Below are 15,095 nucleotides of genomic sequence, written 5' to 3'. Positions count from 1 at the left end.
CCAAATTTCCTTGTCAACTGTGTCTTTACTTGAAGTCATTGCTAGTTAATTGCTTAATTCTGATGCAGTTTCTGAAAAATTCACAAGCATGCAAAATCCTAGAAATATGGTGTCTTTTAGAAGGTTGGAAAGGACCCTGAAAAGCACTCTTGAATACGGGTTTCTCATAACTTTAGAGTCATATCATTTGGACTGGGTAAGAATTCCTGGAACTTCAATGAAAAGACTGGTTTATATAACTGCTAACCCAAGTAGAACAAAAATTAATTGAATACCAAGAAGACACTTTGCCAGATTATCATGCTAAATCAGCCAATACCAAAATTGTATAGATACACAATTTGAATGAACTCCATGGTCTAAGTCAAATGACCTATGATAACCCATCAGTTATCAGTGCTACGCACCTAAATTGGAGAAACAATTGGTATTCAAGAGGACATAAGACCAATGTTAAGTATGGACTCATGGAGAACCAGGGCAGCTGCCTTGTCCTTCCTGAGTCCTTAAAGTTTTTGTTATTAAAAGTTCTGCATTCCATGACTCATGAAAAAGATAAAATAATCCAAATTAAATATATATTGTTGTGGTGACTTGTACATTGCTAAAATAGTTTATAACCAATGTTTAATTTGTCAAACCCGTATTCCTGGGAAGACACTCAAATCTTCAGATACATTCAGCTACCTGATGGGTCATTTAAACATTTATAGAGGGATTTCATTCAATTGTCATTTTCAATGTATGTTTTCTGGTTGTATCAAAGCTTTTCCTTGCGAGAAGGGTGATGTTATAACAGATTATTACGTCACAATGTATTTTCACCAGGAATAAAAGATTTTTACGGTTCACTAACTGAAGACAATCAACCCCTTCACAATCTAGAACTCAAAGACTGGATCTTCCGAGAACATCAGAGAAGGACTTCCTTTGCCATCCACACTGCAGCAAAGCTAAGGGACATTGAACCTTGGGCTTATAATCTCACAACTGAGGGAGGGTTGCTCCACACTTATGGAACTATACACCCGTTAGAACCCTTAAGGTAAAGCTACCCAGGGAAGTTTCTCCCCAGAAAAAAAAATGGCCAGCCTTATACATGGATAACCAGCCTTATACATGGATAACCGTATGCCTTGATAGATGAAAAATGAAGGCCCAATGTAGGTGAATAACTTTAATGGTACATACGTTGCCTGATAGTCAGAAACAGAATGTTGGTTCACTCCTTTTAATCTACATCATGGGTTAAAGACAACATTGCCGGGAGTCCTTCATTCTTCTAGAAAGGCATCATTTGTTAAGTGCTTTTTTCCATGGTGTGGAGTAAAAGATGGAATAATTAGAAATGTATCCCTTATGATAGGCTCTATAACTGATTCTACTGTAAAGGCTATGGTTACACAACAGATTTTAAATTCTCTTGTGAAAATTATGCTAAATAATAGAATTGCTCTAGATTACTTACTGGCTAAACAGAGAAGTATCAGAAGTATCTGTGCAACTGCTGGTGCTTGTGGCCTGTGGAGAAATATATCCCATCAGGTATTATAGAGATTCAGTGTAGGAGATTAATGAAGAGACTGCTTAGTTAAAGTGAGTAGACTCTTTAGCTCATTCTTTGATCTATTTGATTTTAGTTGGTTTGGTTCCTGGTGACCCTAGGTAAGGGGCATACTCCAAACTCTTGGTATTATCCTCCTGACAATCATAATAGTAGTCCCCTTGGTGTACTGTATTCTCTCAAAAGTTTTAAACGTTTGCATTCAGCCATCTCAAGAATGGCAAATGTTGTCTATTCAATTGGAATGCCAATAGCTGAAGGAAATGTGTGACCATGAGGGCATCATAACCTATGAATGAATTGCTGAGACCTGGAAACCCAAAATGACGGTAACTGAGAGTGGCACACTCTCACCTAAGTGAGAACCTGACAAAAAGGGGGGAATTTTTAAACAAAATTATGGGAGGCCATTGTTTTGGACTCAGCTCATGTCATGCACTAGGCCCCAACAGACCAGACAAAACCAAAAGGGACTCACTTGTGCTAAATGTAACATAATCAAACTAAGACTTTAAGGAAACACATATATCCTAGAACAGACTGGGTTTTGTCTTTTTCTCCTGTAAACAGGATGTTCCAGACTAAGAAGTTATCCTCTACTCTAACCCTTACAAAAAAAAAAAATGACCTGAAGTCCTTGTTCACACCTTACACAACCCACTGTTCTGCTATTTTTCAGTGGGTTTCAAGGCCAAATAAGTACATTTATGATGGTGATAGTGACATCAATGACTAAAGTTTTGGTCAATCTCTCAAAATGAGAGGATGAATAAAAGGGGGAAATTGTTAAATCATGTTTAGCCTAAAGCTGCTTTCTTACATATTTTAAGTTAGGCCTAAAGGTTTCTCTGTACACTGTCAACTATAACAAGTGGAGGTGTAAATAGACCATAGCCTACTCTTGTGCCAATTACTAAGTTTTGACCAATCAAATGTGGCCAACTGTTTGAACCGTGTTCAAATAAGGCACAGAGCTATAACCAATCCAGCTGTTTGTGTTCCTCACTTCCATTTTCTGTACATCACTTTCCTTTTTCTGTCCATAAATATTCTTCTACCACTTGGCTGCACTGGAGTCTCTGAGCTTACTCTGGCTCAGAAGACTGCCTGATTTGTGAATCACTCTTTGCTCAATTAATCTTTTAAATTTAATTTGGCTGAAATTTTTCTTTTAACACACTGGACATTTCTAACTTTGAATGAGCACCAGAATAAACTCTGGACAAATGTATCCTCTTCTTTATATTGCTATAGACAGAGCAAAACTTGCTCAGCCTGGTAGAAAATACAGCTTCTGCACAGCAAAAGAAACCACCATCAGAGTCAACAGGCAACCTACAGAATGGGAGAAAATTTTTGCAATCCACTTATCTGACAAAGGGCTAATATCTAGAATCTACAAAGAACTCAAACAAATTTACACGAAAAAAACAACCCCATCAACAAGTGGGCGAAGGATATGAACACACACTTCTCAAAAGAAGACATTTATGCAGCCAAAAGACATGAAAAAATGCTCATCATCACTGGCCATCAGAGAAATGCAAATCAAAACCACAATGAGATACCATCTCACACCAGTTAGAATGGCAATCATTAAAAAGTCAGGAAACAACAGGTGCTGGAGAGAATGTGGAGAAAAAGGAACACTTTTACACTGTTGGTGGGACTGTAAACTGGTTCAATCATTGTGGAAGACAGTGTGGCGATTCCTCAGGGATCTAGAACTAGAAATACCATTTGACCCAGCCATCCCATTACTGGGTATATACCCAAAGGATTATATATCATGCAGCTATAAAGACACATGCACACCGTATGTTTATTGCAGCACTATTCACAATAGAAAAGACCTGGAACCAACCCAAATGTCCAACAATGATAGACTGGATTAAGAAAATGTGGGTATACACCATGGAATACTATGCAGCCATAAAAAATGATGAGTTCATGTCTTTTGTAGGGACATGGATGAAGCTGGAAACCATCATTCTCAGCAAACTATTGCAAGGACAAAAAAACCAAACACTGCATGTTCTCACTCATAGGTGGGAATTGAACAATGAGAACACTTGGACACAGGAAGGTGGACATCACACACTGGGTCCTGCTGTGCGGTGGGGGGATGGGGGAGGGATAGCATTAGGAGATACACCTAATGTAAATGATGAGTTAATGGGTGCAGCACACCAACATGGCACATGTATACATATGTAACAAACCTGCACATTGTGCACATGTACCCTACAACTTAAAGTATAATAATAAAAAATAAAATTTAAAAAATAAATAAAAAAAGAAAATACATGGGCTATAAAGTAGGCAAGGCAGACTATCCAAATACTGACTGAAAAAGAAATATTTTCCTAATATGTTGGTACATTTTCTTCAGGTATTTACTTGAAACCTTGTATGAGAACCAAGAGTTAGCAATACATTCCTGAGCTTCAGGTACTCTTTAACTTCTGATTCTAGTATTTTATCCTAATCCGTTAGTATACTGTAGGGGCTAAGAGTGGGGCTAGTAGCCAAACTGCAAGTCACAAACTACTGTTGACTTTTGCTAACCCACTTAGCTTGTCTGAGTCTCCAGTCACTTCTTCTATAAAATAGAGATAATATTACCTTATATGGTAGTTCTAAGAATTGCATTAATCTATCTCATGCACCTAAAACACAGCTTGCCATACAGTAAGTACTTAGGAAATGTTAGCTAACATTATGATGATCATTTATCAACTGTAAAATATTATAGAAATATTAAATATTATCCAGGCAGAGCTGGAAAGGCCTGTTGCTTCACCATTGTTGGTCCATTTCTAAGGAAGAGTGAGAAGTGGCATTTGCCAAGCAGTAAATTGCTTGAGTATGTAAGGATGATAGTGATGTCTAGAGATATGAGAAAAGGAGAAGAAAGAAGTTAGCAGAAAGTAAGATGAGATAGTAGAATTACTCTTATAAGGGAAAGTTGATTATCTGGATTTCACTCCCAGCTGCTAACTCTTTGGGCAGGTCACCTTCCCTTCCTCAACCATAAAATTAAAATAAAACTTTCTTTTTCTTTCTTTGGCCAGGCTCCACTGCACCAGCATGGCATCTTACAAAAGTTCCCAAGATATGACCAAGGCTGGGTTTAGTCCCAGGCCCATTGCCGGAGAGGGTAGTGATTAAGAAAATGAATTCTGGAGTCACACTGCCTTGAATAGAAAATCAGGCTTTGTTCACTGTGTAACTTTGGATAGGTCACATCTCTCTCAGCCTCAGTGGTTTTGTTCTCCATTAAATTAGGATAATAGCACCTATCACACAGAGTTGCACTGAGATTTAAACAAGATAATGTTGAAATCAAGTTTAGCTACAATGAATGGCACACAATAAGTGCTTAATAAATACAAATGAGGTTGATGATGGCATAAACCCACCAAATTACCTGTAGTCTATATGTTTGTGCATAATAAACATTATGTTCCTTTTTATCTGTCACAATATTGTCTTCATTAAGATAATTCCCATTGAGACCTGGACGTTCTAGTACAGAGTATGTTCTTGGTGTCTATTGGTAAGTTTCCCTAGGTGTGAAAATGGAGAGGCTTCCAAATGTAAAGGCATATGACAGCTGTGGGAGTTAGGGATTAAGCTTCCCTAGGAACTGAGGGTCTGTCAGATCCTATAGAAACAACCTGCTCCACCTTTTATGTGTGTTTGGTTCCAACAGTACACACAGCATCTGTGCAGAAAACCTTCCTGGTCATCTACCATCACATCATAAAACTTCAGTGTGTCAATTGCTGTGGTTCAGAGCTGACAGAAGAGAGTTGACTTAGTTCTGTTACAAGACCGTGGGCCCCAGGTTAGCTGCTAGAATATCATAGCTGGAAGGTTGTGTGGTTATTATCTGCTTCTTCCCCTAGATCCAATTATCCACGCTTGTCTGCTCTACTCTATGCTCAGAAAAGCAGAACACTATTGATTCTATCTCCTGCCTCTGCCCCCTGGCTTCTGTTTCAGTTTGAATGAGGGTGGCAGGAGAGGGAAGCAACTAGCAAATAAACAGAGAGCAGGAGTTATAAATGGTTAGGGTATTTATCCTACCCACTCCCTTCCTATCTGCCACCCTCATATGTTCCTTTAAGGCTGTATCTCTTGGCAGCTTCCTCCACTCTTGCCAGGTTCCAGTGACACTGCTCCTTCCCCTTGACACTGCAGGTCTAGGGGTGATAATCAACAGCTTGCTCCTTTATTGATTTCTTCAAGCCTGCCCAAACCTTTGTAAATAATCCTTTCATTCAACTCTCTTCTTTTTTTTTTTTTTTTTAGATGGAGTCTCGCTCTGTTGCCCAGGCTGGAGTACAGTGACATGATCTCGGCTCACTGCAACCTCTGCCTCCCATGTTCAAGTGGTTCTCCTGCCTCAGCCTTCCAAGTTGCTGGGATTACAGGTGTGTGCTGCAATGCCCAGCTAATTTTTATATTTTAGTAGAGATGAGGTTTCACCATATTGGCCAGGCTGGTCTCGAACTCCTGACCTCAGGTGAACTGCCCGCCTCAGCCTCCCAAAATGCTGGGATTACAGGCATGAGCCACTGCACCTGGCCACAATTCTCTTCTGTTCAACCTTTGAGTGTGGTTTATTTCCAGCTAAACTTAACCTTAGCAGTGTTTATACATCCTGTACTGGGCCCATTTCTCTCCTCTGCATTCACTGTTGTGGCTTTCACAGAGTAGACCATTATGATAGTTGTTATTCTTTATAAGTACTACTACTTGTAATGGCAGGCCTTTGTTCCCACCAGTAAATAATATTTCTGTGTCCCCCAAATAATTTCTTTCAAGTGTTATTTAAATGTTTACCCTTCTTCCCATTAGTTCTTATATGCTGTCAGGCTGGAGGGAGATTCTACTTTTAGCAGTTGGAGAAAGGCGTATTGCTTCTAACACCTGCATTAAAAACCAGTGATACATAAGAGTCACAGCTCTGAATTATTTAGTTATGGATCTGTTGATTCTTCTCAGTGAAATATCTAATACCAAAAACTAGTAAAAAAATCTCCCTTTCCTCATCCCCAAGACTGCTATTGACTGAGGTAAAATATGAATTTGACACCATGCTGAGTTACCTTATACCACACAACATCAGGCTCCTGATCGGACTTTTTAAAGTCATCCATGTCTGGACAGGAGATCTCCTTTCTTTTAGTGACTTCAGATTTTTCTAAATAGCGGATCCTGCTGTTGTAGCACAGGCCTGATTCATTCTCTGCAACAGTCAAGGACATTGACACCTTCATGCAATATGTTGAGTTTCTGTAGGAACAGAGAAATAACAAAATGGCTTTATTGGGTGTTTACAACTTTGTTTGTGCTCTATATATTTCAAGAGTATTGGCTTTTCCATTTAGGACCTTGCCTAGAAATCAGAAAAAAACATCAAAGCAACACAGAGCAGTTTTATGCTGCAACTGACTAGAAGATATGAAACTAATTGCTAATGTGGATATTTGTGGCCATGAGGTAGCCACAGAGCTACATAGAGAAGCTATACCCATCTTCCAAACTGTAAGATAGTCTGACTTCTTTCCCAGCAATAAATATTGCTATGTTGAAAATCTGATAATAAAAACCTGTGAGAAAGTCTCTCTATAACTGGAGCTGTAGCCATTTTTGCTCTGTCCCTGTGGCCAGTCCTTTAACAGTTACTACAGGGATAGTTTAATTTTACTATTGGTTTCTCAGCCAATATTTCCTGATACAGAATATATACTAAAAACCAGATCAACATACAGAGGATATCTGTTAGCTTACAGGTTAATTTACCTGTTAACTATTCAGATTTTTTTTGAGACGGCGCCTCGCTCTGTCGCCCAGGCTGGAGTGCAGTGGCGCTATCTCTGCTCACTGTAAGCTCTGCTTCCCGGGTTCAAGCCATTCTCCTGCCTCAGCTTCCCGAGTAGCTGGAACTACAGGCACCCGCCACCACGCCCGGCTAATTTTTTTGTATTTTTAGTAGAGACGGGGTTTCACCCTGTTAGCCAGGATGGTCTGGATCTGCTGACCTCGTGATCCGCCCGCCTCGGCCTCCCAAAGTGATTACAGGCATGAGCCACGGCGCCTGGCCAACTATTCAGCTTTTTAAGGTACTCACTAAGATGTGCCAGGTGTTGAATTTTGGGCTTTTATAAAGAAGAAATCCTACTAGAGTCTGGTCAGTTGGGATTAATTGTATCAACCAGCACTAGCATTATAAAGAATTCTCAACACAGAATGTTATCATAAGGCCACTTTAGAAATTGGGCATTAATTGGCTAACACATTACAGAAGGGTATTTATTGAACAAAAATTCTGTCTTCTTGTACTTTGGTTAACACTTTCTCAATAATGTGAGTTCAATAAACATATTTAATTAATCTAACTAACTACAATAAATATAAATAAATACAAATTCTGCCTTTATTTTTCTATGTATAATCCATGACCTTTCTCTACCCTACCTTATCTGGATTCCAGAAGATGTCAAACACAAAAGAAAATGGAAAAGTGTGAGGAAGAAATCAGAAGCAGCCTGATAACACTATGAAGATCAGCTGTAAATCTTGGAGTATTCAATTTTACTTTATGGAAGACATTTCAGGACCATATCTGTTTTAAACATCAAGGGATACGTGCTGTCAAAACTAAAATTGCCAAGGGTGGCAATTCAAACCAAGTGCTTTATAACTGAGTAATAACAATCCTAACAGATGGGATTAGCATGCCAACCAATAATTTTCAGACAGTACCAAATGATCGGCACTGTTCATACTGCTTAGTAGTCACTCATTGAAATTTTATATCCCCGACATCATGCAAAACACAGGAATCCAGATGGCGATGCCTCTTGGGTTTACAAACTAAGTTAATAAGAATGACTCCTACTTAGGCTTCTGGTAAAGTTAATTTCTGGCAAGCACCCCTGACTATGCCCAGGCCTGTGTCATCTGAGAAGGAAACTATCAAAGCACTCCAATTCTGATGTTTAGATGCAACCCCATCACACTATGTAGACTGTGGGATTTGCTTTTCTTTCTTCCTCTACATGGGTTCCTGGAACACAAAGGTCATAAGATATGCCCACTGGGGATTAAGTGAAAGAAACATTTATGTTCTTGTCAGACATTGGACAGCCTCTTTAAATGCCATGAAGCTAAAGCCACAACAGTAGTAATCTCAGAGAAGAAGGGTAAATCAATTTAGCTCAATCAATTGAGCTCTTTTTCACCATTTTTTAAACACTTCAGTGTTAAATATTTCCAAGTCTCCTTGCTTGATACAAGGCCATACATGATCTAGCTCAACATAACATTCTCTCCTTTACTCATTAGGGTGCAGCCACACTGGCATTTTCTCTGTTCATTGAACACACTAAGCCTATTCAAACAATAGGCCTTTGTACTTGCTCTTATCTGATCTTCTAATATTTGTTTATTTGTTAAAGTATGCACTAAAAAGGGCAAGGAATTTGTTGCTCTTGTTAATTACACCATCCCTGGGATCTAAATGAATAGATAGTAGATGCTTAGTAAACGTTAGTTGATTAAATGAATGGGCATCAAAAGGTATCTATTTGAGAGACATGTTATTTTTTTTCCATTTTTGTATCAGTCCCATATGGTATATATCCCCCTTTCTTCAGATGAAGGTATATGGCTTGTCAAATATCACATTCCTTCAGATGAAGGTATATGGCTTGTCAAATATCACATTCCTTGTATAAGTATGACCCGGATAATTTGCAGGTATTTGTGGATAGCCACTAGGAGGAAGATTAGCCAAGTTTTGTGCAGCAGCATATTGGCAAAGAATTAAAAATATTGGCTACATCTGAAAGACAAGAATGACCGGCAGGGGCAGGGGATAGAGGGAAGCTAAATGGTCACAGTTATTTAAAAAGTATCTAACACAGAAGAAAGGTAATCATCTCTGCTGGATATCCAAAGTGTTCTGAACAGTTCTTGATGTTACTGACTTTGATCATATCTGCTCCATGGTGTTCACTCATACAGGTGAAAGAGACATACTTGTTAAAAAATTTTCAATTATTATGTTATACCTCCACAGAAGGAGAAGTGTTGACCAGAGATCTCAATAATAGAAGCAGGTGAAATGTTCAATGCTCTGAAAGAAGCTAACTGTCCCAGATGTATTTATCCCTGGGTAGAAAATAGGGTAGACTAAAGTAGAGGACCAATCTGATATAGTGGTTTCTTAACAAAGCATCATCTTTAAACTAAGCCTCACTAGACTCAACTAGTTCTGTGACCTTGGACAAATTGTTTAACCTCTCTGAGTCTCAGTTTCTTCACCTGAAACATGAGGATAAGAAGCTGTTTATGGTGGCTCCATTGAAGGTGGGAGGAAGGATTTCCTTTCATTATAAAACTATGAGTAAAAACAGGTTTACATTTTTATACCTGACCTGTTCAGATCACTGTAAGTATTAAATAAAATAATGTATGTAAAATACCTAATACAGGATCTATCAAAAAGTAGGTATTCAAACAATTGTATCTCTAATTAGAATTGTAGGTATTGCCAGCATTGTTAAATATATTAAAAGATATATATAATAATTATATATATGTATAATTAATATATATGTATACATATATAACTAATATGCATATATGTATAATATACATATCTAATATATAATACTTATAATTTACATGTGATATAATAATCATGAGCAATATAAAAACAACACACTGGCAGCAGTGGGTTAAAACAGTCTGCTGGGTTAGAAGTGCTACTTGACAGGAAACAGTCTGGAAGAGGTCAGTTGGGCAAAAGGTCTAATACCAGAGAGCCATGTAGGTCTGAGAGGATCAAAAAGATACATTGACTTAGGCACAAAAAGAAGTGTATCAAGAGAAAGCAGCTAAGGCAGGAAGGAACTTCCAGGCACTCTGAGTACTAACTACTAGGCAGAGGCTAGAACCTTGGAGGTCAAAGAGGTAGTAAAAGCTCCACTTAAAAAGGTTTACTTCTGGCCGGGCATGGTGGCTCACGCCTGTAATCCCAGCACTTTGGGAGGCCTAGGCGGGTGGATCACGAGGTCAGGAGATTGAGACCAGCCTGCCTGACACAATGAAACCCCGTCTCTACTAAAAATACAAAAAATTAGCCAGGCGTGGTGGCACGCGCCTGTGGTCCCAGCTACTCCAGAGGCTGAGGCAGGAAAATCGCTTGAACCCAGGAGGCAGAGGTTGCAGTGAGCTGAGATCGTGCCACTGCACTCCAGCCTGGGTGACAGAGTGAGACTCTGTCTCAAAAAAACAAACAAACAAACAAACAAAAAATTTACTTCTGGGAGCTTCTTAGACAAATGCCTTCTATAACAAAGCCCAGAGACCTCAAAGCCAGGTTTCCAGGCACAAGACAAGAGCCATTCATGTGTTCGTTCCCTGACCTCTCCAAAGTATAAACAACGTAGATGGTGTCAGCAGCATTTGTATTGATTTGGGGTGGTGTTAAAGGCAAGGAAGCCACCCTGGAGATGGCTGATGAGTTGAAGGAGGAAGTGTGTCCTTCCTAATCCTTAGCCACAAACAACTTTAAGCCAGGGCCCAGTATGTATACACTCTCATTGTGGTCACTGACATGTGAATAGATGCTGACATGTGAATAGATGCTGACAAACTGCTTTGTTAACTCATGAACAAGTCCTAGTATGAAGTCGTTGAGGATGACCGAGGTCCCTAGAACTTAAAGACAAGGTCTGATGTGAGTCCTGCTATCACCTCAGGTGACCTGGGGGAGGTATAATCAATGCTGCCTGACAGTCTGAAACTCAGGTTGATTTTTATTAGTTGTGTAATCCAGCCCTGGCACAGTTCGTGCTAACAATCTTGCATTATTTAGATTTTATTTTGAAAAATGCCCCAGGCTGGTTCTATTTAAAATATTTCCTGCAACTGGGACCTAAAAATGTTACTTTCATTAGGTACAATTAGAGCTATGTGAGGTTGAGGAGGCAGACTGACGAGTGTGCAAGAATGGAGATGGTATTTTTTCTCTCCCTACTTCACATCCTGAGGAAGACAAGGAACACATTCAGGCTCAATGTAGGCAAAAGGCCTTTGCAATGATACTGCAGCAACAACTTACAATTACACATGTTAGTAATCTTTCCAAGTACTTCTATGTGTATTATCTTACTTAATTATCCCAATAACCCTGGAAAATGGGCAGGGTAAGTATCCCTTACAGGAGTAAAACATAGACACAGAGAGGACAAAGAACTTTGTCAAGCTGACGTAGCTGGTCAGTAGTTCAGAACCAAGGTTTATTGGCTGCTAGCCCCTGGATACTCTCAGAACTTGATGCTAACATTGCTCAACAGTCAAACTAACTTGTGGTTATCCGTACCAACTTGAGGAAGCTGATAGAAAGAAGAGCAGATGTGTAACATAACATCTAAGGAATAATGTTAATTTGCATAGCACAGAATTAGAAAATTTATAAATAAACCTTGCTTTCTATTCCAAAGGTTTAATGTTAGCTTGTTTAGGTCATAATTAGAACTTTTTACCCAGATGTATTTCTAAGGGAAAATATTGATCAATCTTGGGTTCTCTGGGGAGAAAAGTAAAACTCATAATTTAAAATACACATGAAACATCCAAATTCCTTTTCTAACTCACATTTATAAAACATGCCCATATTATAAAGTTTTGTTTTAGAGTTTGAGCATATGTGAACTTGTCGTATCACCAGGACTAAGCTGGTGAAAATAATCTAAATAAATTAGGGATCTTTCTTGTACCTAAAATCAAAAGCCCTAGATAAAATGCCTCAGGATATAGTTGAAACTTTCCTAACTGATTTATTCGATTGTCTTATCCTCACTTCAAAATACTTTCCTTGTAAATTTCAGAGACCATCTAATGATAAGGAAACTAAAACAAGCTTTACTGTCTGAAATTTTATAAGGTGAATTGATTTGCTACATATAACATCAATTAATCGATCTACAGTCATTGAATAAGACTGACGTTAAAACATAAGAACTAGCAACTGATACTGTAGCAAATTCAAGGAAGGAAAACAAATGAATAAACAAACAAGATCTCAAGCCCTTTGATAAGTTCTATTTCTCAAAAATCATTAGAAAAATAAGGTTTTCTAGTAAAGGGGGATAAGGGGGAAAAAAGAATATACATGTATTTATTACAGCTGAACTGTACATTTAAAATGGTAAGGATGGTAAATTACATATGTATATTTTACCTTATTTAAAAAAGTTTAAATTGCAAATATTAAAAAAGAAAAGAAAGTTTTATTGAAAAATCTTTTAAGCTTGATTGGAAAGGGGACTTTCAGATGTCTGCATAAATAATTACATAAAACTGCAAACTTGCAATGTTAATGCATTAAAAGACCAAGATGGCCAAAGCCCTGAACTGTGTATTATTATTCTATGAAGACCCACAACCCTTTAGAATCATTCAAATGACATTTAATGGGCACCTGCTATGTGTCATGCTGTTTATATACATTGAAAAGCAGATGTAAACCTAATATAAGGATAAAAATATCTATGCTAATAAGAAGAAGTTTGGGGATACAGGATCTATTGAATGAACTCATTTTTGTCACTTTTAGTCTTTAAGTAAATCATCTTACTTCTAGGCTTGTACAGTTGTAAAGAGCTCCGGGATTTTTGTTTTATTGTTTTTTTAAAATAAAACAAAACAGAACAAAGAATGCCATCATTCATAGATGATATCTCTAGCCTGTAAATATGTCAATATAATAGGTTTTAAGTTTATGTACATTTTTTCCGTAAGGTGTAAACCTGGTAATTAAACAAACAAGGATTTGTGGGGGCATAAACATATCATAATTTTTTTATTTTATTATTATTATACTTTAAGTTTTAGGGTACATGTGCACAATGTGCAGGTTAGTTACATATGTATACATGTGCCATGCTGGTGTGCTGCACCCATTAACTCGTCATTTAGCATTAGGTACATCTCCTAAAGCTATCCCTCCCCCCTCCCCCCACCCCACAACAGTCCCCAGAGTGTGATGTTCCCCTTCCTGTGTTTTTTAACTGTTCTTATCTCCTGCTGACATGAACATTCAGCCTTTGACAGGACACTGGTAATCTGCAACCCAGAATTATTTAAGCATAACTTTCTTATAGTTCATGATGCAGTCAGATAAAAGGTTAATCCAAGGACTTGAGTAGCTTACTGCTTGATAATGCAGCTTTTAGAGTTAGACTTGGGTTCAAATCCCAGCTCTATAATGTCTTATCTATGGATCTTTGCATGGGTGACTAAATCTCAGTTTTTGGTATGCGTGGAATGAGAATAATAAAAGCAGCTAACTTAATAGGGTTGTTTTATTATGCAAGTGTTAAGAATGGTAACGGGGGCTGGGCCCAGTGGCTCACACCTGTATTCCCAGCACTTTGGGTGGCCAAGCGGGTGGATCACTTGTGGACAGGAGTTCAAGACCAGCCTGGCCAACGTAACAAAACTCTGTCTCTACTAAAAATACAAAACAAAAAAATAGCTGGCATGGTGGTATGCTCTTGTAATCCCAGCTACTTAGGAGGCTGAGGCACGAGAATCACTTGAACCCAGGAGGCGGAGGTTGCAGTGAGCTGAGATCACACCATTGCACTCCAGCCTGAGCAACAGAGTGAGACACTGTCTCAAAAAAAAAAAAAAAAAAAAAAAAAAAAAAGGGAAAAGAAAGAATGGCAAAGGGTCTGAAATTTTACCTTACTTATGCACTAAAAATTTAGCCTGCCAGTTTCATGGAAGCTGGTAGAAGACACCAGAATCCTAGGTCAGAAATAATAAACAGTTAATTGGAGCAATGACAGTAGCCAAAGTATCAGTATTTGTGTTGCTTACACAAACTCAATTCCCATAGGATAATACAAAGAGGATCAGGTGATACTTGTAGAAGTATTGGGTTGTATTACAGAAGAACCCCAAGCTTAAGAAACACAAATTTCTTACAATGGGCCATAAGCATGTCGGCCCTTTGTTCCAGAGGCAGATACTAACTGTATTTTCCAAGGCTATAAGCAAACCTGCCTTTTGCTCTAGAGATAGACACTATTTCTATCTTCTAAGGCTATTCTCTGGCCAGGCACGGGGGCTCACGCCTGTAATCCCAATACTTTGGGAGGCCGAGGCAGGCAGATCACCTGAGGTCAGGAGTTCAAGACCAGCCTGGCCAACATGGTGAAACCCTGTCTCTACAAAAATTAGCCGGGTATGATGGTGGGTGCCTGTAATCCCAGCTACTTGGTAGGCTGAGATGGGAGAATCACTTGAACCTGAGAGGCGGAGGTTGCAGTGAGCCAAGATCGTGCCATTATACTCCAGCCTGGGTGACAGAGGAGACTCTGTCTCAGAAAAAAAAATAAAATAAAATAAAATAAAATAAAATAAAAGTATGTTTTCTATACATACACCTTTGAAAAGATAATCCAGGGCAAAGGATACTCTGCTCACAGACATGTAAAAA

The 15,095-nt window shown here is 38.6% G+C and overlaps 1 protein-coding gene across 2 annotated transcripts in view; it reads right to left on the bottom strand.

The window, feature by feature from the left end:
* Positions 1 to 15,095, bottom strand: part of IL1RAPL2 (interleukin 1 receptor accessory protein like 2) — a 1,201,631-nt gene that overhangs the window by 527,144 nt on the left and 659,392 nt on the right. For both annotated transcript variants that reach the window (NM_017416.2, XM_011530905.3), the window contains one exon: positions 6,682 to 6,868. In NM_017416.2, the coding sequence (NP_059112.1) occupies positions 6,682 to 6,868 (187 nt within the window). The remainder of the gene's footprint in view (positions 1 to 6,681; positions 6,869 to 15,095) is intronic.

The sequence above is a fragment of the Homo sapiens genome, chromosome X (assembly GCF_000001405.40).
Source record: "Homo sapiens chromosome X, GRCh38.p14 Primary Assembly".
Classification (NCBI taxonomy): domain Eukaryota; kingdom Metazoa; phylum Chordata; class Mammalia; order Primates; family Hominidae; genus Homo; species Homo sapiens.
The sequence above is the reverse complement of the archived record's forward strand: the minus strand, read 5'-3'. Positions and strand labels throughout refer to the sequence as shown.